The sequence below is a fragment of the Homo sapiens genome, chromosome 1 (assembly GCF_000001405.40).
Source record: "Homo sapiens chromosome 1, GRCh38.p14 Primary Assembly".
NCBI lineage: Eukaryota > Metazoa > Chordata > Mammalia > Primates > Hominidae > Homo > Homo sapiens.
This window is the reverse complement of record NC_000001.11, coordinates 12,055,948-12,081,566: the sequence shown is the minus strand read 5'-3', so window position 1 is coordinate 12,081,566 and position 25,619 is coordinate 12,055,948. Positions and strand designations below refer to the sequence as shown.

The following is a 25,619-nucleotide window of genomic DNA, read 5'->3' as shown; positions in this document are numbered from 1 at the left end:
TCTTATTTAATCCAGAGCCCCGGGCCTTGAGGACACCCTCCTCCCTCCAGTAGGAGAGGAGAGTGTCCTCTCTTAAGTCACCCAGAGGGCTCCTGGGAGCCTCTCCAGGGGGGCAGGAACCTGCCAGGACACCCGAAGTGCTCCTAACCCACAGCATCTCACTGGGTGAGTTCAGTAGCCTGGGCCTGGGGCTGGCTGGAGGTGTGAGGGCTCACTGGCAAGGCCTGCTGAGTGTGGGAACATTCTGGGTCCTTGTCCTTGGTCTCCCCTCCCGGCCTGCCTGCTAATCTCACTGACAGCTACGGAGTCTATGGGGACCATGGGCCCAGGCCCTGCTCACTCTGCTGGGGCCTGGGGCACACCTGGGGGGCTCTGGCTGCTTATGCTTCCCTCCTGCCATCACACCTGGGTCAATGGAGGGGTAGGGGGTGCAGAGAATGGGGAGCCCATGGTATTGCACATTACTCCCCCGAGTCTGGCCTTGGGTGCCTGCTTTCACACAACTCCTCCTTTACACACTGCTAGCTCTTTGGGGCCAGATCACTACCCCATGTTACAGATGAGGAAACTGCAGCCCAGAGAGGTGTAGCCACTTGCCCAAGGTCACACAGCAACTAAGTGCAGAGAGGTTTGAGCTTCACCGTGTCCCCAATTCTCCCCCATCTCTGGGCCACAGGCTACCCATCTTTAAAATAAAAAAATCCCAGGGCCGGGCACGGTGGCTCACGCCTGTAGTCCCAGCACTTTGGGAGAATGAGACAGGAGGGTCAGCTGAGGCCAGGAGTTTGAGACCAGCCTGGCCAACATGGCGAAACCCCGTCTCTACTAAAAATACGAAAAAATTAGCCAGGAGTGGTGGTGGGTGCCTGTAATCCCAGCTACTCAGGAGGCTGAGGCATGAGAATCGCTTGAATCTGGGAGGTGGAGGCTGCAGTGAGCCAAGAACGCACCATTGCACTCCAGCCTAGGCAACAAGGGTGAAACTCCATCTCAAAAAAATAAATAAAAATAGGTATTAAAAGCCCAAATATCCTCGAAAGAGCGTTCCCAGGAGAAACAAGCTCGACCACTCTGCTATCAAGTTCCCACTGACCACAGAGTCTGCCATGAAGAAGATAGAAGACAACAACACACTTGTATTCACTGTGGATGTTAAAGCCAACAAGTACCAGAGCAAACAGGCTGTGACAAAGCTCTATGGCATGGATGTGGCCAAGGTCAGCACCCTGATTCGGCCGGATGGAGAGAAGAAGGCATATGTTCCACTGGCTCCTGATTACAATGCTTTGGATGTTGCCAACAAAACTGGGATCATCTTGGCTGGGCACGGTGGCTCATGCCTGTAATCTCAGCACTCTGGGAGGCTGAGGCCAGCAGATCACCTGAGGTCAGGAGTTCAAGACCAGCCTGGCCAACGTAGCAAAACCCCGTCTCTGCTAAAAATACAAAAATAAGCCGGGCATGGTGGTGCATGCCTGTAATCCCAACTACTCAGGAGGCTGAGGCGGGAGAATCCCTTGAACCCAGGAGGCGGAGGTTGCAGTGAGCCGAGATCACGCCATTGCACTCCAGCATGAGCAACAGAGTGAGACCCTGCCTCAAAAAAAAAAAAAAAAATAGAGAATTAAAAAATAAAGTAGTGATAAAAATAAAGTAGTGATAAGTATATGTAAAGAGAGTGAGAACACAGATGTACAAAGCCACATATGTAAATAGCATCTCAAGGACACGAAATGCTGGGAGGTGGTGGCTTCTTTTCAGCAATAATTCTCGGTAAATCCATAGCTTGCCACCGGAGGGCAGTCTTCTTGCTGTGCGGAGGGGCTGTGGGATCTCAACCTGGTGGGATGGCCAGCCTGTGCCTCTCAAATCCCCTTGGAAGGAGGAGCAGAGGACTTAGGGCCCCATTTTCCATGTGGAGCTGAGCGAGGAAGGGGCACCCCCTTCCCCTTACACAGGCCCTTCACCTGTCCCAGCTCCCGGTGGAGAAGGAGGCAAGGGCCGGGGCGTCTGCCGCTGCCCGGAGAAGTCTGGCCCTGTGAATTTCCAGGCCCACCCTGCCTGGCTCATCAGCTCCTGCTGCCCTGGGGAAGAGAGAGAGGGGAGCTGGGATGTGCTCGGGCCCTTGCCTGGGAGGGAAGGAGGGATCAGAAAGCGAAGAGTGGGAGGGGGAAGCCCAAGGACTGGAGGGGGGGCTTTTGGGTGGAGTTCCCCGCAGGTTCAAGGCAAAGTGAGGTGTCCACAAGGTAATGAGCTGTGCAACCGGAGGCCCTCCGCCCCACCTTAGTGGCATCAAGATAAAGAGAGGGTGGCCTAAAACCTTACCATTTTCAGGTCTGTCTATTTTCAGGTTGGTTTGGTTTTCCCTACAAGACCAGTTAAAGTTCACTTTCAAAAAGCCCCACCTGGTCTCAGCCGGACCATACCTGTGGGAGACGAGTCTAGAAGTTGTGGGGTGAGCGGGGAGTTAGATCAAATGCAAAATCCCCGAAGGGGCCAGAGCTGAGCAGGGCCAGCGAGGTAAGCACCCCTCCCCTCCCTGTCTCCTGGGGATCTCCACCGCTGTGCGCTCTGTTATTCAAGGTGAGGCCCCGGGCCAGCAGCAGGGGCACCACCTTGGAACTTTCTCAAAATGCAGAACCCCAGACCTCCCTAATTGGAATCTGCATTTTAACAAGAGCCCCAGGGAGTTTGAGATGCGCTGACCTAGCAGAAGCTGAGCAGAAAGAAGTGCAAATGCTGGAACGGTTTGCTTTCCATAGCGAAAGTAATTCTAATAGCCAACAACTGTCAGCCCATTTTACAGATGGGGGAGACTGAGACGTAAGGACGAGAAATCTGCCCAAAGTCACACAGCTGGTCAGTGTTAGGGCCAGGATTTGGCACGTGCTCTGATCCGCCAGCTTCTGCTGCCTGGGGTGGGGGGGTGCTGTAGTTCAGGGCTCTGAGATCCCTGCTCCCCACTCCCCATGAGACTGAGGGTTTTTTTGTTTTTGTTTTTTAAGACAGAGTACTCGCTCCGTCGCCCAAGCTGGAGTGCAGTGGTGCGATCTCGGCTCACTGCAACCTCTACCTCTCGCGTTCAAGCAATTCTCCTGCCTCAGCCTCCCAAGTAGCTGGGACTGCAGGCGCTTGGCACCACACCTGGCTAATTTTTATATTTTTAGTAGAGGCAGGGTTTCACCATGTTGACCAGGCTGGTCTCGAACTCCTGACCTCAAATGAGCCACCCACCTCAGCCTCCCAAAGTGCTGGGATTACAGGCATGAGCCACCATGCCTGGCCGAGACTGACTGCTTTTTGAAATGCTTGCTTCTCCCTGGCCCCCAACCTATCACTAGTTCTGTCTGTTTAACCTGCAGTTTTACCCCCACATCTACCAGCTCTTCCTCACCTTCCCGCCATCTGGACTTGACAGTGACCACCCGAGGGTCTCCTCTCGTCTACCCCATCCACCACGCCCAGCTCACAGTGCAGACACCAGACTGATCTTTTGAAAACACGATCTACTGTCTTCCCCTCCATCCTATTGAAGACCCTCAGATGGCTTCCAACCCAGCTATGAATAAAGCCCAAAGTCTTGTGTTCGCTTCGATAGCACATATACTAAAATTGGAGCAATACAGAAATTAGCATGGCCCCTGCATAAGGATGATACGGAAATTCATGAAACGGTCCATATTTAAAAAAAAAAAAAACCAAAGTCTTAACAGTGGCCCAAGAAGCCCTGCCCTCCTTGCCTGCCTGTGAAGCCCCTGGTACTCTCTCCTACCAGCCTCTTTTTGCCACTGGCACCCCACGGGCACCCCACTCCCTGCAGCAGCCTGTGCGTGCTGTTTCCCTGCCTGCACTGGTCCCTAAATCCAGTGTACCCCCATTCATCCTTGAGACCTCACTCATGAGTGCCACTTCCTCTGGGAAGCCCTCTCTGATCACCCCCATCCAGGTCATGTGCTGTGTGCCTAGCGGAAGCTTTAAGGGACTGTTGGTTTCCCTGCTCACTAAGGTTGTTGGCAGAATTCAGTTCCTTGTGGTTGTAGGACTGAGGTCTTGTTTCTTTGCTGACAGCCAACTAAGGGCTGTTCCCTGCTTCTAGGGACTGTGGCATCCTTTGGCTCATGGCCCCCTTACTCCATCTGCAAAGCCGGCAATGGTGGGCTGAGTCCTTCTCACATCACATCTCTCTCTTTGCCTCTATCATCTCTCTCTAACACAGCCAGGAAGGGTTCTCTGCTTTTAAGGACTCCTGTGATTAGATTGGGCCCGCCCTGATAATCCAGGATCATCTTCCTGTCTCAAGATCCATAGTATCAGGTTTCAAGGATTAGAATGTGTGGACATTTGGCCAGGCGAAGTGGCTCGCACTTATAATCCCAGCTCTTTGGGAGGCTGAGGCAGGAGGATCACTTGAGCTCAGGAGTTTGAGACCAGCCCGGGCAACACGGCAAAGGAGAAAAACCCGTCTCTACAAAAGATACAAAAATTAGCTGGTTGTGGTGGAATGCACCTGTAGTCCCAGCGACTCGGGAGGCTGAGATGGGAGAATCTCTTCAGCCGTGGTTGGGCCACTGCACTCCAGCCTGGGTGACAGGGTGAGACCCTGTCCCAAATTAACAATGTAGAATGTATGGACGTTTTAGGGGACTATGCGTCTACCGCCACACCCTCGCTCCTAAGCAACCACTAGACTATACCACCACACGCCGAACTCAGTAGTCACCTCCTAACTGTAGGACTCTGAACCCCTCTCTCCACACTCAGTGCTCACTTGAGCTCCAGACCAAGAGACTACCTGAAACTAAAGTCCTCCTCCTCCACCTCTTTAAACACACCCATCCCTGGCCACAGGCTCCATCCCTGGCCACAGGCAGCACCTCTCACAGTTGTCCCACTGCAAGCAGGTGCCGAGTTGAGTTTTCCCCAGTTCCTGCACAGCTGAGAAAGAGTGTGCAGGGCCCCATGCTGCCTGGCCCCAGGGTTGGAGATAAAACCCAAAGACAGTGGACACGGAAACAGCATAGAGGGTGGAGCCTGGAGTCCCTGGCTGGAAGGAACTCAGGGACAGGCAAGCACCTTGAAATGATTTTTGTGTAAGAGTTGAAGAAAGAAGAAAAAAATATGAAAAGCGGCTTACCAAAGACAGGTTTATTTTGGAGAATAAAACTGAGGCCGGGCACGGTAGCTCACGCTTGTAATCCCAGCACTTTGGGAGGCCAAGGCAAGTGGATCACCTGAGGTCGGGAGTTTGAGACCAGCCTGACCAACATGGTAAAACCCCATCTCTACTAAAAATACAAAATTAGCCGGGCATGGTGGCTTATGCCTGTAATTCCAGCTACTCGGGAGGCTGAGGCAGAAGAATCGCTTGAACCCGGGAGGCAGAGGTTGTGGTGAGCCGAGATCACGCCACTGCACTCCAGCCTGGGCAAGATGAGTGAAACCCCATCTCAAAAAAAAAAAAAAGAAAAAGAAAAAAAAAAGAATAAAACCAAGAAGGCCTTCTGGCCAATTTCGTTCAGCAGCATTGTTTTTATGGACTAAGGGTATTTAAGGGTTCTGGGATGGGAGCTTTTCGCAGGCTAGGAATGTTTCTGTGTGGAGGAGAGTTTTACTGTATGCTGGGAATGTCTCTGGTCAGAGGGGAGGTTATCTCAGGGCTGGCATGTCTCCAGTCGGATGGGGGTGTTGGAATGTTTCTGGTTGGAGGTGTCATTTGTGGTTTATGGTCATGCTGACGTTAGCCGTTAGGCTGATGTTTTGGGGCTGGATTTAGGCGGTTTTTAATCAAGGAGAATTTAAAACGGCGATGCTTGTCCAAGATGGTGACGCTCCTGCTCTGTCAGTTAGCAAGAATCATACCATCCTCACTGGGTCCCCAGGACCTAGGGTGATATATTCACATATGTGCTCATATACGTCTCCTTACATGGCAAAGGGGAATCAGGGTGGTAGATGGCATCGAGGTTGTGAACCCGCTGACTTTCAGATGGGAGATTCTTCTGGATTATCCAGGGGAGCCCAGTGCAATTTAAGGGAACTTAAAAATGCAAGAGGGAGGCAGAAGAGAGAGTCAGGGAGTCAGAAAAAGAGATGAGTATGGAAGCTCTTCACTGTCATTTCCCAAACAGCGTTTCATCAAATGCTGGGGCTACCGGATGGTAACAGATGATAGGCAGAACACGGACAGGCGCAGCGGTTCACACCCGTAATCCCAGCTCTTTGGGAAGCCAAGGTGGGAGGATTGCTTAAGCCCAGGAGTTCAAGACCAGCCTGGGCAACATAGCAAGACCCTGTCTCTTTAAAAAAAAAAAAAAATTTTTTTTTTGGCAGAGTCTCACTCTGTCGCCCAGGCTGGAGTGTAGTGGTGCAATCTCGGCTCACTATAACCTCTGCCTCCCAGGTTCAAGCGATTCTCCTGCCTCAGCCTCCCGAGTAGCTGGGATTACAGGCATGTGCCACCACACCTGGCTAAGCTTTGTATTTTTAGTAGAGATTGGGTTGCACCATGTCTCAAACTCGTAACCTCAAGTGATCCACCTGCCTCGGCCTCCCAAAGTGCTGGGATTACAGGCATGAGCCACTGTGCCCGGCCTAACAAAATTTTTTTTTAATTAGCTGGGCATGGTGGCATGTGCCTGTAGTCCCAGCTACTCAAGGAACTAAGGTGGGAGGATTGTTTGAGCCCAAGAATTCGAGGTTACAGTGAGCTATGATTGCAACACTGCACTCCAGCCTGGGCAACAGAGTGAGACCCTGTCTCATAAATAAATAAACAAACAAACAAACACAAATAATCACTGGAGTCCATTCGAGAGGTTTCCATTTTAGATCACGGGGCTTCTCAGAACCTTTGATGTGGTTACTTACTCTTTGATTCTCCAAGGAAGGGTATGGGAGCTAGTCAGAAAACTCTGCAATGTTTCTCAAACTTCGTTGGCCATAGAACCTTTTTTTCTCAGAACTGCCATTGCCAGAAAGTGAGTTTGAGGCCGGGCCTGGTGGCTCATGCCTGTAATCCCAGCACTTTGGGAGGCCGAGGCGGGCGGATCACTTGAGGTCAGGAGTTTGAAAACAGCCTGGCCAATACAGCGAAACCCCCTCTCTACTAAAACTACAAAAATTAGCCTAGCGTAGTGGTGCACGCCTGTAATCCCAGCTACTCAGGAGGCTGAGGTAGCAGAATCTCTTGAAGCCGGGAGGCGGAGGTTGCAGTGAGCCAAGATCACATCAGTGCACTCCAGCCTGGGTGACAGAGTGAGATTCTGTCTCAAAAAAAAAAAAAGAAAGAAAGAAGGTGACTTTGGGACATGTTGCCTTTGGCACTAGGGAAGCATTAAAGGGTTTCAGGGTCATTAATGTGGTGGGGAGGTGGACAGGATGGAGGAGAGCGAGTCCGTTTTAGCAAGATCACGCCTTGAGTCCGAATTTAGCAACTGGTCGATCCTCACTTCCCACCAAGAAATCCCTCCTGCCTCCCAGCAATCCCGTGCCGGCTCCATGAGCCAATTGTTGAGACTGCAGGGATCCTGAAGATTCCAGGGCCGAAGCAAGTGTTGGAGCTGCATCCTTAGCTACAACTCAGACAAGGTAAAACCCACCCAGCCCTGAAGTACGTTCCCGGGCAGCAACAGCCGCCACGGGACAATGGCAGCTACAAAGAAAAATGCAGTGGGCTGGGTGCGGTGGCTCCCACCTGAAGTCCCAGCACTTTGGGAGGCCGAGGCAGGCAGATTATTTGAGGTCAGGCGTTTGAGACCAGCTTGGCCAACATGGTGAAACCCCATCTCTAGTAAAAATACATAAAAATTAGCCAGGCGTGGTGGTGGGCGCCTGTAATCCCAGCTACTCGGGATCCTGAGGCAGGAGAATCGTTTGAACCCGGGAGGCAGAGGTTGCATTGAGCCACGATCTCACCACTGCACTCCAGCCTGGGCGACAGAGTGAGACTCTGTCAAGAAAATGAAAAAAAAAAAAGAAAAAGAAAAAGGGAAAGGGAAAAGGAAAGGGAAAGGGAAAACGAAAGGGAAAGGAACGGAAAGGGAGAAAGAAAGAAGAGAAGGAGGGAGGGAGGGAAGGAAGGAAGAAGAAAAGAAGAAGGAAGAAGAAAGGAAGGAAGGAAGGAAGAAAAGAGAGAGAGAGATGGATATAGTGGACCTGAAGGAAAAGGAAGCGGGGCCCAGCTCCCTGGGAGTATTCGACTTTCTGATCCTCTTGGAGGTGCCTTAGGTTCCTGCGCCAGCCTCAGGCCAGTTGCTCAGAAGGGGCTTGTGTATTTACTTTTTGTTTGTCTGTTTGTTTGTTTTTAAGACAGGGCCTTGCGGTCACCCTGGCTGGAGTGCAGTCCTGCGATCATGAACACGGCTCACTACAGCCTTGACCTCCTGGGCTCACGTGATCCTCTCACCTCAGCCTCCTGAGTAGCTGGGACCACAGGTGTGTACCACCATGCCCGGCTAATTTTTTGTTGCCCAGGCTGTTCTCAAACTCCTGGGCTCATGAGATCCTCCTGCCTTGGCCTCCCAGAATGCTGGGAATACAGGCGTGAGCCTTGGCGCCCAGCCTGGTGTGTTTCCTTGCCCACCTCCCTCTCCCAGACTATGTGTGGGGAAGGGGCAGGGCACATGCCCCCCAGACCGTTTGGAGAGAGAGGAAACTCTTGGCCTGGCCGCTGCGTCCTGGCCTCCCTCACCCGAATCAAGAGTGGGAAGGGTGCCTGCCCAGGCTGGGAAGGTGAAGGTGGGGTTTAGGAGTTTCCTGGTCTCAGCAGGTTGGAACCATTTCAGTAAACTGTGTGGAGGCCACATTATCTGTGCACGCACTCTCTGAGAGCAGGAACCGTACCTGGCAGGCAGCAATCCGTCAAGAAAGTTGATGGCTGAAATGAAGCTGTGGGCGACGCCTCTAGGAGTTCTTAGCCCCCTGGAGGACCCAAGAACCCAAGGGGAACCTGCTGGGTGGGGCTTCCAAAGCAGGCCCCAGGCTCGCCCCAACCACCAGCACTGATGTGCTGTTTAACCTCTGACCCCTTCTGCTGCCTCCAGAGCCCTGGGCAAAGCTGGCAAGGACAATGGCACCATCTGTGGTGCAGAGCCTCATCACTGCAAACTCTGGAGGCTCCTTCCCCTACTGACCCAGGCAGAAGTAAAGATGGGCTCCTCTGGACTCCCGCAGGCCCCAGACAGTCCCCTACGCAGTACTGGCCACCCTCTCTTCTGTATTCCCCTTCCCACACTGCCCCCCATCGAGGGCAAGGACTGGAACTGGTTCATCTCCATGGCTGTATCCATAATGCCCCACATACAACAGGCACCTAATAAGGCTCACCTTTATTTGCACAGCACTCACTGTGTCCAGAAGCTGCTCTCAGCACTTGACACATATTAACTCATGTCATCCTTACACCAGCCCTACAATACAAGGTAGCTACTGTTATTAGCCCATTTTATAGATGGGGAAACCGAGGCACACAGAGGTAACTTAACTTGCTCAAGTCACCATCTAGTGTCAGAAGCAAGGGATAACCTTGACAGGCTGACAAAAAAGTTCATACCTTTAACGAAATGCTCTACTGTCTCTCAAAGGTGGCTCATGCCTATAGTCCCAGCACTCTGGGAGGCCAAAATGGGTGGATCACTTGAGGTCAGGAGTTCGAAACCATCCTGGCCAACATGGTGAAACCCCATCTCTACTAAAAATACAAAAATTAGCTGGCATGGTGGCACGTGCTTGTAATCCCAGCACTTTGGGAGGCCAAGGCAGGTGGATCACTTGAGGCCAGGAGTTCGAGGCCAGCCTGGCCAACATGGTGAAACCTGTCTGTACTAAAAATACAAAAATTAGCCGGGCGTGGTGGCGGGTGCTTGTGGTCCCAGCTACTTGGGAGGCTGAGGCAGGAGAATCACTTGAACCCAGGAGGTGGAGGTTGCAGTGAGCCGAGAGATCGAGCTCAAAAAAAAAAGAGAGAGAGGAAATGTGAGGATGGAAGGAGAGTTCAGAGTGATGCAGGGCCAGGGACCAAGGAACACAGGCAGCTTCTAGAAACTGGAAAAAAGCAAGGAAACATTTTGCTACAGCATATCCAGAAGAAAAATAGCTCTGCTGCCTTATCATAGACTTTTTTCTTTTTTTGAGACAGAATCTTGCTCTGTCACCCAGGCTGGAGTGCAGTGCTGCGATCTCAGCTTGATGCAACCTCTGCCTCCCAGGTTCAAGCAATTCTCGTGCTTCAACCTCGCGAGTAGCTGGGACTACAGGCACACACCGCCACACCTGGCTAATTTTTGTATTTTTAGCAGAGACAGGGTTTCGCCATGTTGGCCAGGCTGGTCTCAAACTCCTGGCCCCAACTATCTGCCCACCTCAGCCTTCCAAAGTGCTGGGATTACAGACTTGTCATAGACTTTTGACCACCAGGGCTATAAGACAATACCTTCATGTTGTTCTAAGCCACCAAATGTGTGCTAATTTGCTATAGCAGCAAAAGAAAACTAGCATATACTGTAACCAGGCTGAATAAAAGAGCCTAGGCTTGGGTTGGAACGAATGAACAGATAATGTGGGGGCCAAAAAAAGGGGGTCTTGGGCTTGGTTAATAGAAGTAAGGTGAGTCTACTGGGGAGTGGTCTTTGGCCCAGGTGGCACCAGGACTTCTACAGTTGACTCTGGTACCCAGAGATTCATATCAGCAGCTTGAACTCTGTAGAGAGCTCCACATTTCAACACCCAACCCCCACTGGTACTTGAGCATGGGCAAAATAGAACTTTTCTCCAAAACCCCTGTTCTATCCTTTGCTTGTTTTTTCCCACATCCCAAAATGACACCTCCATGCAGCCAGATTCTGAGCTCCCAAATACGGACAGGATCCCTGATTTCCCTCCTGCCCTCTGCGCTCCCACCAGACCCATCCACAGGTCCTGTTGATTCTAGCTTGAAAGCACATTCCAGCTGGGCACAGTGGCTCATGCCTGTAATCCCAGCAATAGGAGGCGCAGGCAGGAGGATCACCTGAGCCCTGGGAGTTTGAGACCAAACTGGGCAACATAGTGAGACCCTGTCTCTACATAGGCGGGCAGATCACGAGGTCAGGAGATCAGACCATCCTGGCTGACACGGTGAAACCCTGTCTCTACTAAAAATACAAAAACAAAATTAGCCAGGCGTGGTGGCGGGCGCCTGTAGTCCCAGCTACTCGGGAGGCTAAGGCGAGAGAATGGCTTGAACCTGGGAGGCGAAGCTTGCAGTGAGCCGAGATCACACCACTGCACTCCAGCCTGGGCAACAGAGCAAGACTCCGTCTCAAAAAAAGAAAAGAAAAGAAGAAAAAGCACATTCCCACCTCTGCTCACCCCTCCCCTGGATCAATGCAATGACCTGGCTTCCTGCTCCCATCCTGCCTGCTCCCCCCAATCCCCCAGCCCCCCACAGCAGACAGAAGGAACTTTAAATCTATCATGCAGTATTGCTCCCCTGCCAAAAACCTCACCACAGTCCACAAAGGTCTGCACGATCTACCACCTTTCCTGCCACCTTCTCCTAACCACCCCTCTCCACTCACTTCCCTCCAGCCACCCCGGCCTCCTTCCTGTTCCTCTAGCCTCTTGGGGCTTTTACCCCCTGGGCCTGGATGCTTTTCTGCTAATCTCCCACTGGCTGCCTCCCTCTTTTCATTCCGTGTGTATGTTACCGTCTGCAAGTCCTGTTTTCCCCATCTTAGGGAGCCGCCCGTCTCTCTCACACTACAGGATTCTAATCCTCTCATTGCAACTAGCAGCAGTCTGTTGACTGTCACCCCTGTGGAATGTCAGTTCCGTGGGGCAGAGACCCTGCTATGCGGTGCATGGATGAACTCGCAGCACCCGGAGTGCTTCCTGGCATGCAGAAGGTGCTCAATAAGTGTTTGTGGAATGAATGAATTGAAGAGAACAGGCAGATGAGGAGCCTTGAGCTCACGCTACGTGAGGAATAAATGTTGGAGGACAGGTGTGTGACTGGCTGAGAGACTCCGGGGACCCAAAGTCACAGTCTTCACATTGCCAGAGGCGCTTCTGAAGAACAGGGAGGTGACTCATTTTCAAAACTAGATTTCAGGCCAGGCGTGGTGGCTCACCCCTGTATTCCCAGCACTTTGGGAGGCTGAGGCGGGGGGGCTCGTCTGAGGTCAGGAGTTTGAGACCAGCCCGGCTAACATGGTGAAATCCCGTCTCTAATAAAAATACAAAAATTAGCCAGGCGTGGTGGCACACACCTGTAATCCCAGCTACTTGGGAGGCTGAGGCAGGAGAATCACTTGAACCTGGGAAATGGAGGTTGCAGTGAGCTGAGACAGCGCCATTGCACTCCAGCCTGGGCAACAAGAGCGAAACTCCATCAAAAAAAAAAAAAAAAAAAAAAAAAAAGGCCGGGTGCAGTGGCTCATGCCTGTAATCCCAGCACTTTGAAAGGCCGAGGCGGGTGGATCACGAGGTCAGGAGTTAGAGACTAGCCTGGCCAGCATGGTGAAACCCCATCTCTACTAAAAATACAAAAAATTAGCCAGGCATGGTGGCATGCACCTGTAGTCCCAGCTACTTGGGAGGCTGAGGCAGGAGAATTGCTTGAACCCGGGAGGCGGAGGTTGCAGTGAGCCGAGATCGCACCACTACACTCCAGCCTGGGTGACAGAGAGAGACTCCATCTCAAAAAAAAAAAAAGAAAGAAAAAGAAACTAGATTTCAGCATATCATGAAGATCATCTAAATGCCAAAGCTAACCCAGGATGGTGTGAGCTGCCTCAGCAAGGAGCAAGCATCCTGTCACGGGGGGCATACAGGCAGAGGCTGAATGCAAGTCCCTGGAGCCATGCCTGACCCAGAACAGCTGCTCATTTCAGATCTGCTGGATGCATGCATGCATGAATACTTGCATGTCACCAAAAGACTTAGGCATTCAGGGAGTAACTAGACTGAGCCATGTATAAAAAGTCCCTCCCCACCAGCAAGGCCACGAGAATGCCCAGTGGTTTTCAACCATAGATACCGGAAGAAGGTCCCCCACCCCCACCCCAGTATCCCCTGGGTGGACCTGGGAGGGGAGAGAGAGAAGTGGAGAACTGGTATGGCCGAGAGCTGCCTTTTTTTGACATTCTGCGTGTCTAGTCTGTGGTGGGCTCTACCCCGACCAGTCCTGGAACTGTAGGCAAGACTCTCCCCTACCTCTGGGCCTCTGCACTGAATCCTTGTCTGTGAAATGAGGACTGTGATCCCAGATGGGCCACACCCAGGGTCAGTGCACCGGCTGGACAAGCTGGCCCAGGCTGGGCTGATCTACTGTCATTGCCAAGGACCCTCAAGCCTCCAGGACTCCCCCGGGCCAGACACAGTCATCCTTCAGCCCCATTTTCCTTCTGATGATTGTCCTGATGTGAAGAAGGGTGATGAGGGAGTATAAAAACCTTAGAATGAATCACAATCTGCTCAAGAAACGAGTCTAAGTCAGATATGAGTGGGAGCAGAAGCAGAAACTTACAGTAAACGCCCCTCCTTCCGGCACTCACTGCTCTCAAGCTGAGTAACACGACTCCCTGACCCCAGAGCACTAGTGCCGCCCTGGGAAGGGATGGCTTTAAGACAAGCCAGACCCTCCTTCCACTCCTTCAGGGTCCCCTCCTCTCCAGGTCCCCCCCCCGCCCCCCCGCCGTCCTTGCCTCCCTGCAGGATTTGAGCAGCCCTGGAAATGTCCCTTTTGCAAAACAAAACCAGAAAATCTCTCCTGCCCTCTTGCCACTCCCTGAAATTCCACGATTAGCACTACACTGTATGGAGTAACTAGCTAAGCTTTTAAAGTTAAATTGCTAGATGGAGGAGTCACACATAGAGCTTTTCTATCACCCCAGCTAAAATTCCTCTTTTTTTTTTTAAATACAGTCTCACTGCCACCCAGGCGGGAGTGCTGGCTCACTGCAACCTCCGCCTTCTGGTTTCAAGCGATTCTCCTGCCTCAGCCTCCTGAGTAGCTGGGATTACAGGCGCCTGCCACCATGCCCAGCTAATTTTTGTATTTTTAGTAGAGACAGGGTCTCACCACGTTGACCAGGCTGGTCTTGAACTCCTGGCCTCAAGTAATCTGCCTGTCTTGGCCTCCCAAAGTGCTGGGATTACAGGTGTGAGCCACAGCGCCCGGCCCCAGCTAAGATACTTTCATGAGAACCTTCCTGGTCCCAGCCTGCACACTAACCCAGAGCAAAGATGCTTACATCTGGCTGGAATTGGGGGTACATGGATGTGGGAGGAAGGCTTGTTTAGCCTTAGCACTGGCAAGGAACATGATGTTGGGGAATTTCTAAGTCTACAGAGTTCACAGGAAAGCTGGGGCTTCCCCCGCCCCGCAACCCCACCACATGGTGCCTGGATGAAAAGGATGGAGCTATGGGGGAATAAATTTTTCTCTGCAGATATGCACCAGTTAATCCTGGGTCATATTACAAAAAAACACAATTGGACAAGACAGTGATACGAAGCATCAGAGGCCAACTCTCAGATGGTGCCAGCTAGCAAGAAAGCATTCCTGCCTCAGAATACCAGGCGAAAAATGATGGCGTCTTGGGAAAAATCAAATAGAGATGAAAAAAGAACTTCAGGATGGGCACGGTGGCTCACGCCTGTAATCCCAGCACTTTGGGATGCCGAGGTGGGAGGATCACTTGAGGCCAGGAGCTCGAGACCAGCCTGACCAACATGACGAAACCCCATCTCTACTAAAAATACAAAAATTAGCTGGGTGAGGTGGCAGGCACCTATAATCCCAGCTATTCAGGAGGCTGAGGCAGGAGAATCACTTGAACCCAGGAGGCAGAGGTTGCAGTGAGCTGAGATTGCGCCACTGCACTCCAGCCTGGGAGACAAAGTGAGACTGTCCCAAAAAATAAAAAAAAATTTAGGCCGGGGGCGGTGGCTCACGCCTGTAATCCCAGCACTTTGGGATGCCGAGGTGGATGGATCTCCTGAGGTCAGGAGTTCAAGACCAGCCTGGCCAACATTATGAAACCCCATCTCTACTAAAATACAAAAATTAGCCAGGCATGATGGCAAGTGCCTGTAATCCAAGCTACTAGGGAGGCTGAGACGGTAGAATCACTTGAACCTGGGAGAGGGTGGTTGCAGTGAGCCAAGATCGTGCCACTGCACTCCAGCCTGGGCAGCTGAGGGAGACTTCATCTCAAAAAAAAAAAAAAAAATTTTAAACTCAAGGAAATTCAAGCCCTAATTTGGGATTTTTTTTTTAAAATAACGAGCTTCCCGAACCTTTACTGGAAAAAACAGAAGTGGGAGAAGGCTTGAGGGGCAAAAAGGAGTACTGTGTTGGGCAGGTAGTCCCTTCCCCAAGGACTCCCTGACTCCTGCCAAGAAATGACCTAGTGCCTGAGCCCAGAGAGATGCTCAGCTTCCCCGGTAGGCGAGAAATGCAAATTAAGGCAACAAGGATATAACCCTTTTCACTAATCACATTGAGAAAAATTAAAATGCTGATAAGATCAAATGTCGGTTAGGATGTGGGAAAGTTACTACTCTCTTGCACTGCTAGCGGGAGGGTAAATTGTCCAGCCACCCTGGAAGGCAGTTCGGTGGTGTCTTTTAATTTGAATGCATTTTCGCCCTGCAACCTCAGTATTCTCTTCTCAGTCTCTTGTCTAGGAAAGAATCACAGACATTTATTTCCAAAAGCATCCATATAGGGCTGTGCACTGTAGTAGAGAACAAAGAAAGAAAGAAAGAACAATGGTGGCAACCTTAGCACCCATCCATCCAGGACATAAATAAACTATGAAACATCCCATTTGGCAAAAGATCACATAGCATTTTAAAAGATAGGCAGAGGATCTGTAAGTTTCAGCATGGAAAGCTCACCAAGATGCCTCATAGACATTATAAAGCCAAATGAAGAACCATATGTACTGTAGGGTATAGTATATGGAAAACTATATATATGTCTATTAAAACAATATAAATATGGACATGCATTTATAAAGGTCTGCAAAGGAAACACACCAAATCAATTATGGTGGTTATATCTTTGAAGGGATCAGGATGAGGCGGTGTCAAAAGACTTGGCTTTATCTGTAGCGTTTACAGTTTTGCTTTGAGAATATATTTATATATTCCTTGTGCAATTAAATATATAGTATTTTTATTTTAAAAAGGGTATGGGAGGCTGGGTGTGGTGGCTCATGCCTGTAACCCTAGCACTTTGGGAGGCCGAGACGGAAGGATCACTTGAGGTCAGGAGTTCGAGACCAGACTGACCAACATGGTGAAACCTCATCTTTACTAAAAATACAAAAATTAGCCGGGTGTGGTGGCACATGCCTGTAATCCCAGCTACCTGGGAGGCTGAGGCAGGAGAATCACTTGAATCCGGGAGGCAGAGGTTGCAGTGAGCCGAGATCGAGCATTGCACTCCAGCATGGGCAACAAGAGTGAGACTCAGTCTCAAAAAAAAAAAAAAAAAAAAAAGGTTTGGTATGAGAGTTCAGGCTGTAGTGAGTTATGATCGCACTCCAGCCTGGACAACAGAGTGAGACCCTGTCTCTAACATTAAAAAAAGTGGAGGGGGCTTCACTCTACAGAAAGGAAGCACATGAGCTTCAGCTGCCAAACCAAACCAGCAAAGCCCCCCAAGCACCTCTCACATCTCTTCCTTCCCTTCATCTCCCCAAGACCTTGGCACTCCAAACTCTTACCTTCCCCCAGGTGAGGGCTTGCAGAGCTGGGACAGGGTGTCTCTAGCCAGGGCTTTGTCCCCTCTGCCCTCTTGGGGGGAAAGGGGGAATACCTCACATTGCCCATTGGAAATGGAAGAGGGCATAGTTCCTCCTTTGCTGCATAGTTCCTCCCTCCTGCCTAAAGCCCACTCTGCCACTCTCCTCCCACTGCCTAAGGTTCAGATGACTAGAATTGATCCATAGCATGGAGTCCTCTCTTCCTGTAGGATTAAAGGGGAACTGGGTCTTCCCTCTCCCCCACCGTGACCCACCGCTGGACTAACAGCCTGCTCCTTCCTTTCCCTCTGTATCATTCAGCAGGCATCCACTCGCACCTACTATGGTTCTATGCAGGGGTCCACCGGGGTCCTGGGTCAGCTGAGGGCCTCTCTCTCCAGCAGCCCCTGGGCTCCGTGAAACACGCCTGGTTACTTTGCATTCTCCCCACAGTGATTAATTTGGCGCTGGCCACTGGTAAGTGCTCAGTTTTCCTAAAGCAGTCCCCAAACTCAATTCTGAGGCAACCCACCATAGACTTCAGCCCCACCACTGACCTTCTTCCAGGGGCAAATGCCCACCACGTGCTCCAGCGAATTCAATCCACAGCGTTGCTTTGCCGGACGCGGATTGGGGAAGCTAATCCCGGTGGTCCTGCACCCTCACCCCACTCTCACCCACAGCCAACTCTCCCTCCTTTCCTTGACCCTCCAGCCAGTGGCCAGCTTAGGAAGGGGGCAAACGGGACCGCGCACACAACAGGGTAGAGCGCGGACGACCAACCTCCCATGGCTAAGGGAGGCCCCATCTGGCCTGCCCACTACTCCCACGGCCTCACCTGATCTGCCCAGGACCCCGACGGGCCCGCAGGTAGGCGGGCTAAAGAGCGCCTCCCGCGTATGGCAGTGCTCTCAGTCCAATTCACACTGAATGAATGAATCAGTCCCAGCCATCGCGGGGTGAGAAGGAGGCGCCCCCCACCACTAGCCCTTCAGCCAGCCTCCCACCTGTGGGTGCTAGCATATTCCGGTGTTCCTGCTTGTCACCCGCGCCCCCTCACTCCAGCTGGGCAGGGAACGGGGTGAGGAGTGTCCTCCCTTGCGTCCCACGCACCCCACACTGTCCGGGCTCTGGACCGCCGGCACCTCCCCAGGCGCCCGTCACCCGCTTACCTGTGGGAAGGCTCGTAGCGCCCCCAGGAACAGCAGTCCCAGCGCGGCGAGGAGGACGCGCATCCCCGGGGCCGGACGTGAGGTGGCCTGGCGGCCGGCGCCCACCTGGGAAGCGGGGGAAGCGCGCGGCGCCCACGTGCGGTCCCGGCGGTTCTCAGCCGCGCGCGTGGACTTCAGGCTCCAGCACACTCCCGCCGCGGCCACCTAGTCCGCACCCAACGCACGCCGCGAAGTCACTTCAAAAGTGGTTGTTCCTCCGAGGTTTCAGCCTTAGTTCTCCCGTATCAAATTGGTTCCAGGAACACTTAGCTACAAGCAGCGAAGAAAAAAGGGGGCAAACACGTGCAGAGATGACTCAGGAAAAGGCACACTAGGAGACGCCTCCCTTAGCTGTTTGAATGGCCCGCCCCGGATTTGACGGAACTAGTGGTCCTGGCTCTAGGGAGTGTGCTGCCCGCCGCACCTGGGCTGCGGGGAGCGGAGGCAGGCAGCTTCTGGCCCTGGAGGTGGGGACTCACAGGATATTAGGAGGCCCCAAGGGGGTTCCAATGCCCCCACCTCCACTCCTGCCCCAAGAAACGGTGAAATGTGAGTAGTTTCCTGTCCCTGACACGATCAGCCAGGACCTTCTCCCATGCCCTTGAGATTCTTTGGAAGGGACAACTGGCCTAGGGAGACTGCAGAAAAAGCAACCATCACCCACCCATCCCCATTCATAAGCATTTGCTGTAAAATGAATCAGTGAGTGGATGATAAATTGGTGGATGGATGGATGGATGGATGGATGCATAGGTGGATGGATGGATGGATGGATGGATGGATGGATGGATGGATGGATGCATAAGTGGATGGATGGATGGATGGATGGATGGATGGATGGATGGATGGATGCATAGGTGGATGGATGGATGGATGGATGGATGGATGGATGGATGGATGGATGCATAAGTGGATGGATGGATGGATGGATGGATGGATGCATAAGTGGATGGATGGATGGATGGATGGATGGGTGAGCAGCAGGTGAGTGGGTAAATGGGTGGGTGGATGGGTGGATGGATGGATGCATAGATGGATGGATGGATGGATGCATAGGTGGATGGATGGATGGATGGATGGATGGATGGATGCATAAGTGGATGGATGGATGGATGGATGGATGGATGGATGGATGGATGGATGGATGCATAGGTGGATGGATGGATGGATGGATGGATGGATGGATGGATGGATGCATAAGTGGATGGATGGATGCATAAGTGGATGGATGGATGGATGGATGGATGGATGGATGGATGGATGGGTGAGCAGCAGGTGAGTGGGTAAATGGGTGGGTGGATGGGTGGATGGATGGATGCATAGATGGATGGATGGATGGATGCATAGGTGGATGGATGGATGGATGGATGAGCAGCAGGTGAGTGGGTAAATGGGTGGGTGGATTGGTAGATGGATGGACTGAATGTTGGAGGAACTGATGGATGGTATAGATCATTTTATTTCCCTGAGGCCTGACCCTTTAGAGTTTTCTTCCTGGAGGAGGCGGCTGGCACTCTCTCCTAACAGAAATGATTCAAGCCTCCTCGTACTATGTTCTCATTTGCTGGTGAATGATTTTCCCTTCCAGTGCTTCCCCATCCCCTGGGTTTTCTCTTTGCTCCTTTTATTCCACATTCCGTGTGTCTGTGTTGAGCATCTGCTGGGTGGGCCACAGGTCAAGGGTTCTTTTGACTGATTTTGTTTGGTTTTCAGATGTGAAAGCCAAGGCTCAGAAATAGGCAGGCAGTCCTAGGTGCTCTAATTAAGGGTGGGCCAGTTATTTTCCCTGAGCCCAGAATAGCCTAAGGATACTCTGGCTTCTGTGTCTACCTTGATCTGTCCTGCGAGGTACCAGGCCTCCATCAGGTGAAGGCCCTATAGGGTAGGAGTGATAACCTCCCACCAGGAACTTCCCAGCAAGGTCTCCACAACTGACCACTCCATGCTCAACCCTCCTGGGGCTGCTGGACTCCACTTGGGAAAACTGCTCCATCATGCCCCTTCCCAAGAGACCCACTTCCAGACTCTCCTCTGGATGTACCAGGCCCAGTATCTTAGGCTGTTTGAGCTGGGACTATGTTAAACAATGAGGTAAGCAATTATGGAAGTGACCTGCCTGTGATAATGACAGAACCAGACAGGGACAGGAGGAACGCAAGACACCTGCTTCCCAGTCCAGAGCTTTCTACTACAAAAGTAGAAAAGCTGGCAGCTGGGTGACATGGCTCATATCTGTAATCCCAACACTTTGGGAGGCCGAGGTTGGAGGATCACTTGAGCCCAGTTTGAGACCAGCCCGGGTAACGTAGCAAGACCTCATCTCTATTTTTTGTTTAATTAAAAAAGAGAGAGAGAGAAGGGCTGGTGTTTTGAATAAATAAATGAACAACAGCATCAAAATAGCTTGCACAAGGAGAAATACAAATAAAAATCAATTACAAGTTTTATAAGTTTAACCTTTTTAGTAATTAAAGAAATGCAAATTCAAGCAACCTTTGATAACCTTTTAGATCTATACAATCATCATTTTTTTTTTTTTGCTTTATAAAAACAATTTTGGTAAATCCAACCCCAAAGTTGTGGTGAGACCAGAATACTCATTCATACTCTGCTGGTAAATGTTACAACCCTTTTCAGAAAGCAGTATGGCAATTTTTAGCAAAAGCCAAAAAAAAAAAAAAATGTGTACTACTTGTGAGTGGCTCAGTAATTTCACCTCAGTGAAGAAAAACTAAGGAAATAATTTAACTGGAAAACTAGAAAAAGAAAAAAGAAAACTATACAGTAACATTTCCTTATATATTATTTATAAATTTTTGAAATACTCTGAGATTCACAACAAGAAATGATTACGGAAATTGTGGTACATCCATTTAATGGAATATTGCACATCCATTAAAAAGGATAAATCTATAGATGTTGTGGAAACTTGTCTCTCCCTCATATCCTTCCCTCCATGGATTTCCAAAGAGACCTTTCTAGCACACACATCTCACCAAGACACTCCCCTGTAGAGAACCCTTGCGGAAGTATGGTGTGTGTTTTGGCAGAGGACCACGTAGAAAATTATATTATTCATTTAATGATAACAATAACAGCTACCTTTGAGTGCTTATTTTGTGCTAAGAGTTTTCAGGCATTGGTTTCTTGTATCCTCATGAAAACCCCATGAACAAGGTCCTACTTTTATGCCCATTCTGCAGGAAAGGAACCCCTGCAGTGGCTCCCCTGGGTCAGAGTCACCCAAATGCAAGGGTGCACAAGTCTGCTCACAGCCTGGCAGGGGCTGACTCCTCCCTTGTGCCTTTTTACTTCTCCTGGACCTATACTCCAGCCAAATGTGCAGCCTTCTCACCCCTGCCAGCCTTTGCCCACGCTGGCCTCCACCTGGGACGCACACAGACTCCTGATCATCTTCCTAACCTGTTCCAATGCCACCTCCTCCTTGTTGCTTTCCTGGCAGTGTCTCCTGTCCCCCAGCCCTCTTCCCAGTCAAAAAGTGGTTTCTGTCATTTTTTGTGCCGCAATTCTAGATCTGATCTCATCATGTCATAACCATAATGACTGGTTCATGCATCCCTCTGCCCCAGGAAACTGTGTACTCCTGAGAACCAGAATTCCCCCAGGGCGCCCAGGAAAGTAGCTGACACATGGCTTAAGTGGAGGGAAGGCACATTTTGTGGCCAGGGAGCCAGCTGGATCCCAGGGGGAGATGGGCTGGTAGCAACCAAGGAAAACAGCCATTCATGGGACTCTTAAAAGCAGGCAGTGGATAGAGCCCCCGGGTGCCCTCGGCAGGTTTCAGGTGGTATGAAAGTGCTGTGAAGAGTAGAAGGGGAAGTCCCTAGGCTCTGTGCAAGGCACAGCAGCAGTCCTTGTTGTGGGGTCGTGGGGCCCTCCAGAGCAAGCTGTGGAAGGAAGCCAAGCCCGAGGGGCTACAGGAGACTGGGGAGCGAGGAGCGCTTGCTCACACAGTCTCAGCTCGGTGGGCTTCTTGGAGGAAAGGTGAGGAAGGTGAATGCAGTAGGAAGCCATCCAAGGGGAATTGGGAATCTGTGTCCCCAAAGTGATGCTGAGCAAGACACAAGGTCCCAACTTGGTTCAGGAAATTCAGGGACTTCCTCCAACAGCTGGGAACCCGAGTCCCAAATGGCCCCAAAATACCCTTAGCAGATAAAGGGTTCTTTCTGGCCCAGGCAGCAGCTGGCAGGTAGGAGGCTGGAAATCAGAGAGGGGAGGCTGGGGCCTTTCTTCTTCAATAGGTCCAGGTGCACCTTTTCTTTCTTTCTTTTTTTTTTTTTTTGAGATGGAGTCTCACTCTGTTGCCCAGGCTGGAGAGCAGTGGTGCAATCTCGGCTCACTACAACCTCCCCCTCCCCAGGTTCAAGCGATTCTCATGCTTAGCCTCCCGAGTAGCTGGGATTACAGGCGAGCATCACTGCACTCAGCTGATTTTTGTATTTTTAGTAGAGACAGGGTTTCACCATGTTGGCCAGACTGGTCTTGAACTCCTGACCTCAAGTGATCTGCATGCCTTGGTCTCCCAAAGTGCTGGGATTACAGGCAAGAGCCACCGCGCCCAGCCGCAGGTGCACCTTTTCTGAGCAACTTTCTTGGGAGCCTTGGTAGCAGTAGGACTCTCCATTAGGCTTCTCTGGGTCACCCTTGGCCTCCACCAGTCCTAATCGGCAGGACCCATGTCAGGCTCCCTCCAACTCACATCCCCAGATCTCCCTGCCCTTTTGAGGCACCAACATTAGGGGTTCTCAGCTGCCTGGGTGAACCCCAGCAATGCACACCCACAAGCATGACACCCCTAGACCAAGCCTGGTTGGAAACTAAGCAAAGGGGCACTGGCTCTCCAGAACTAGGTTTGTTGTGCCCCTTCCCATGGGCAGGAGGGAAGGCTGTGAGGCCCTCGGGGATGCTCTTAAAGATTCTGCATAGTAACATTAACAGTGTCATTCATTGAGCTCCTGCTGTGTACCAGGCCCTTGGTCAGACATTTAATCCTGGCATCAAGATTTCAAGTCAGTATTGCTATCCCCACTTTATAAATGAACTGAGGCTCAGAGTAGTTAAGTCACTTGCCTGAGGTCACACAGCATGAGGGTGGCAGGGCTAGGATTTACTCCAACCCTGTCTGACTCTGAAGCCTCAGCTGCCTTCTTTTCCCTCCCCAGGCCTCTCTCACCCTTGCTTTCCCCAGGAGAAAGAGCACTGATGTATAAGTCCTGGTCTGGCCATGTGACTTTGGGAAGTCATTTCTCCTCTCTGAATGTATTATTATCTATTGCTATGTGCCTCAGAACCTAGTGGCTGAAAACAATAAACATTATATTGCGCTGTTTCTGTGAGTCAGCAATTTGGGAGAGACTTGACAGGGTGATGCTGGCTCAGGGATTGCCATCAAGATGTGGGCCAGGGCGGCAGTCATCTGAAGGCTTGAGTGGGGCTGGAGCATCTGCTTCCAGGATTAGCCACTCCCACGGCTGTGGGTAGGAGGCTTCAGTCCCATGGGGCTGCTTGAGTGTCCCCACAACATGGCGCTGGCTTCCTCCAGAGCAAGTGACCCCAAGTGAGCAAGACAGAAGTCACAATGCTTTTTATGAACTAGCTTCAGAAGTCACATTTTGTCATTTCCACAGTATTCTGTTGGTTATACAGGCTGGCTCTCCCCAGTGTGGGAGCGGACTGCACAAGGGCATGAATACCAGGGGCTGGGGAACACTGGGAGCATCAGTTTCCCCTTCTGCCAGATGTGTGTTGAAGCATGACTGGGCTGCCCTCTGAAGGTTGTAATGGGCCTTGAATAAAATATGGACATAGAAAGCTCTTGGAAATGCAAGAAAGACATGGAAAGGGCTCTACTTCCCTTTGCCCCCTCCCACTGCCTATCCAGGCCCCTGCTATGGCCCCAGACCTCCCATTCCAGAGCACAGCTAAAATGCTCATGGCTGGGGGTTCCCCTTTCTGAGAAACATGCTACCATGACATCCACTGTTCCAGCCAAGGGGTGACTCATGCAGGGCAGGCCCACAGGAGGGAACCTTGGGGGTCTGAGGCCTTTCCTGGCCCCTCAGGTGATGTCAGGTGGGTGACCACTTCCTACACCTCCATGGCCCAGCCTGCTGGTCACACAGTCTCTGTGGGAACACTTCCCCCAACCTCTGGCACCAGATTTGGGCTCAGTCTTGGCTCCAGCTTGATAGGTGTGGAAAGACTAGATGGAAAGTCAGGAGCCCCAGTGTGGCCCAGGTTGGCATTTAGCTGCATGACTTTCTCTTGGGGGTCCTCAGTGCCCTCATCTGTAAAATGGGGGGGCTAGGGTCAATGATCTGCTTAGAAGTCCTTTTGTTGCAAGGCCCCGGTGGGGAAGAGGGGAGGCCTGGATTCCTCTGGGCCTGGCGGCTCCTGCAGAGCATTTACAGCTCTGTTCCTCTGGCTGCCAGAGGTCCTAGAACCAGACAGCCCTGGTCAAATGCTATCTCTGCCATTTACTAGCTGTGTAAATCGGGCAAGTTGCTCACCCTCTCTGAGCCTCCATTTCTTCATCTATAATGGGAAAATGATAAGATCTACTGCAAAGGGCTGGTGAGGATTAAACAGGTTGATGTGACTAGCACCATGGGAAGGCCATGCTCTCTCAGTTGGAGCCTCTGGAGGGGGCCCCCATCCCCCAAGCCCTTCCCTTAGTGGCAGCCAGCCTCCCAGCTCAGGCACCTTTCACCTAACCTTGGCCTCATGGCTGTGAACCCTCATGAACTCCTGGGCCTAGCAGCTGGGCTTTCCGATTTCCAATATCTCCTTCCATCCCCCAGAGACACGAAGAAGGAAGCTGAGACCAGAGAGGGAAAGAGACTTGGCCAAGGCCCACAGCCTGGTGGGGATGACTCCGTGGGCTGAGAGTCCCTATCGAGGAGTCCCCGTCTTCCCCAGACCTTCTTGCTCAGCAGGGCCGTTGTAAATGGAGGTGAGTTGGAGGTGAGTCATTTAGACTCTCAGGAAACCAAGCCTAGTCCAATATTAATCATGGAACCAGAGACACTGAGTGCAAGAAGGAAATGGAACCAACCGATGGTGGCAGCAGCTTCATCGGAGGTGCAGGCGAGGAGAGCGCACCCATGGGTGCGTCCGTGCAGGGAGGTCTGAGAGTAAAAGTCCAAGAAAAGCCGAGTGCGGTGACTCACATCTGTAATCTCAGCACTTCGGGAAGCCAAGAGGGGCAGATTGCTTGAGCCCAGGAGTTTGAGACCCGCCTGAGCAAGATAGCAAAACCCCATCTCTACTAAAAATGCAAAAATTAGCCAAGTGTGGTGGTACTTACTGTAATTCCAGCTACTTGGTAGGCTGAGAAAGGAGGACTGCTTGAGCCCTAGAGGTCAAGACTGCAGTGAGACACGATTGCACCACTGTACTCCAGGCTGGGTGATAGAGCCAGACCCTGTCAAAAAAAAAAAAAATCCATGGGAAAACGGATGCTCAGAGAAGAAATTGGCCTAAGCCATCCAGTAAGTTCCAGATTCAAACCCAGGTTTGTGAGTCTAGAGTGAGCCTCTGCCCTGGTGGTCGCAGTTGCTAAAACTTGCATCCCCAAATCCCGTCGTCCTGATGGCCAAAGGATAGCCCACATTTCTTGGTGCCTGGGACCTGCTCTGTGCTCCCCCAGAGCCAT

The 25,619-nt window shown here is 51.5% G+C and overlaps 1 protein-coding gene and 2 pseudogenes across 5 annotated transcripts in view, besides 9 other annotated features; 2 read left to right on the top strand and 1 right to left on the bottom strand.

Moving 5' to 3' along the window:
• Positions 1 to 18,264, bottom strand: part of TNFRSF8 (TNF receptor superfamily member 8) — an 80,905-nt gene extending 62,641 nt beyond the window's left edge. For all 5 annotated transcript variants that reach the window (NM_001243.5, XM_011542441.4, XM_047434793.1 and 2 more), the window contains exon 1: positions 17,906 to 18,264. In NM_001243.5, the coding sequence (NP_001234.3) occupies positions 17,906 to 17,968 (63 nt within the window). In that variant the 5' untranslated portion in view covers positions 17,969 to 18,264. The remainder of the gene's footprint in view (positions 1 to 17,905) is intronic.
• RPL23AP89 (ribosomal protein L23a pseudogene 89) lies at positions 1,021 to 1,317 on the top strand (annotated as a pseudogene).
• Positions 2,073 to 2,232: an enhancer, noted in NCBI's record as "active region_200". NCBI's record gives its function as "activates an Ori minimal core promoter by ATAC-STARR-seq in GM12878 lymphoblastoid cells {active_cell/tissue: GM12878}" and the evidence as "EXISTENCE:reporter gene assay evidence [ECO:0000049][PMID:35858748]".
• Positions 2,553 to 3,551: an enhancer, noted in NCBI's record as "H3K27ac-H3K4me1 hESC enhancer chr1:12138073-12139071 (GRCh37/hg19 assembly coordinates)". NCBI's record gives its function as "activates a minimal SCP1, AML or CMV promoter by ChIP-STARR-seq in naive and primed H9 embryonic stem cells {active_cell/tissue: H9 hESC(naive and primed)}" and the evidence as "EXISTENCE:reporter gene assay evidence [ECO:0000049][PMID:30033119]".
• RNU6-777P (RNA, U6 small nuclear 777, pseudogene) lies at positions 3,583 to 3,686 on the top strand (annotated as a pseudogene).
• Positions 13,302 to 13,351: an enhancer, noted in NCBI's record as "active region_199". NCBI's record gives its function as "activates an Ori minimal core promoter by ATAC-STARR-seq in GM12878 lymphoblastoid cells {active_cell/tissue: GM12878}" and the evidence as "EXISTENCE:reporter gene assay evidence [ECO:0000049][PMID:35858748]".
• Positions 13,372 to 13,471: an enhancer, noted in NCBI's record as "active region_198". NCBI's record gives its function as "activates an Ori minimal core promoter by ATAC-STARR-seq in GM12878 lymphoblastoid cells {active_cell/tissue: GM12878}" and the evidence as "EXISTENCE:reporter gene assay evidence [ECO:0000049][PMID:35858748]".
• Positions 13,622 to 13,671: a silencer, noted in NCBI's record as "silent region_283". NCBI's record gives its function as "represses an Ori minimal core promoter by ATAC-STARR-seq in GM12878 lymphoblastoid cells {active_cell/tissue: GM12878}" and the evidence as "EXISTENCE:reporter gene assay evidence [ECO:0000049][PMID:35858748]".
• Positions 17,872 to 18,001: a silencer, noted in NCBI's record as "silent region_282". NCBI's record gives its function as "represses an Ori minimal core promoter by ATAC-STARR-seq in GM12878 lymphoblastoid cells {active_cell/tissue: GM12878}" and the evidence as "EXISTENCE:reporter gene assay evidence [ECO:0000049][PMID:35858748]".
• Positions 18,589 to 18,821: a silencer, noted in NCBI's record as "fragment chr1:12122803-12123035 (GRCh37/hg19 assembly coordinates)". NCBI's record gives its function as "represses an EF-1alpha promoter that drives an FKBP-Casp9 reporter gene in an ReSE screen in HepG2 liver carcinoma cells {active_cell/tissue: HepG2}" and the evidence as "EXISTENCE:reporter gene assay evidence [ECO:0000049][PMID:32094911]".
• Positions 24,717 to 24,806: an enhancer, noted in NCBI's record as "active region_197". NCBI's record gives its function as "activates an Ori minimal core promoter by ATAC-STARR-seq in GM12878 lymphoblastoid cells {active_cell/tissue: GM12878}" and the evidence as "EXISTENCE:reporter gene assay evidence [ECO:0000049][PMID:35858748]".
• Positions 24,907 to 24,956: an enhancer, noted in NCBI's record as "active region_196". NCBI's record gives its function as "activates an Ori minimal core promoter by ATAC-STARR-seq in GM12878 lymphoblastoid cells {active_cell/tissue: GM12878}" and the evidence as "EXISTENCE:reporter gene assay evidence [ECO:0000049][PMID:35858748]".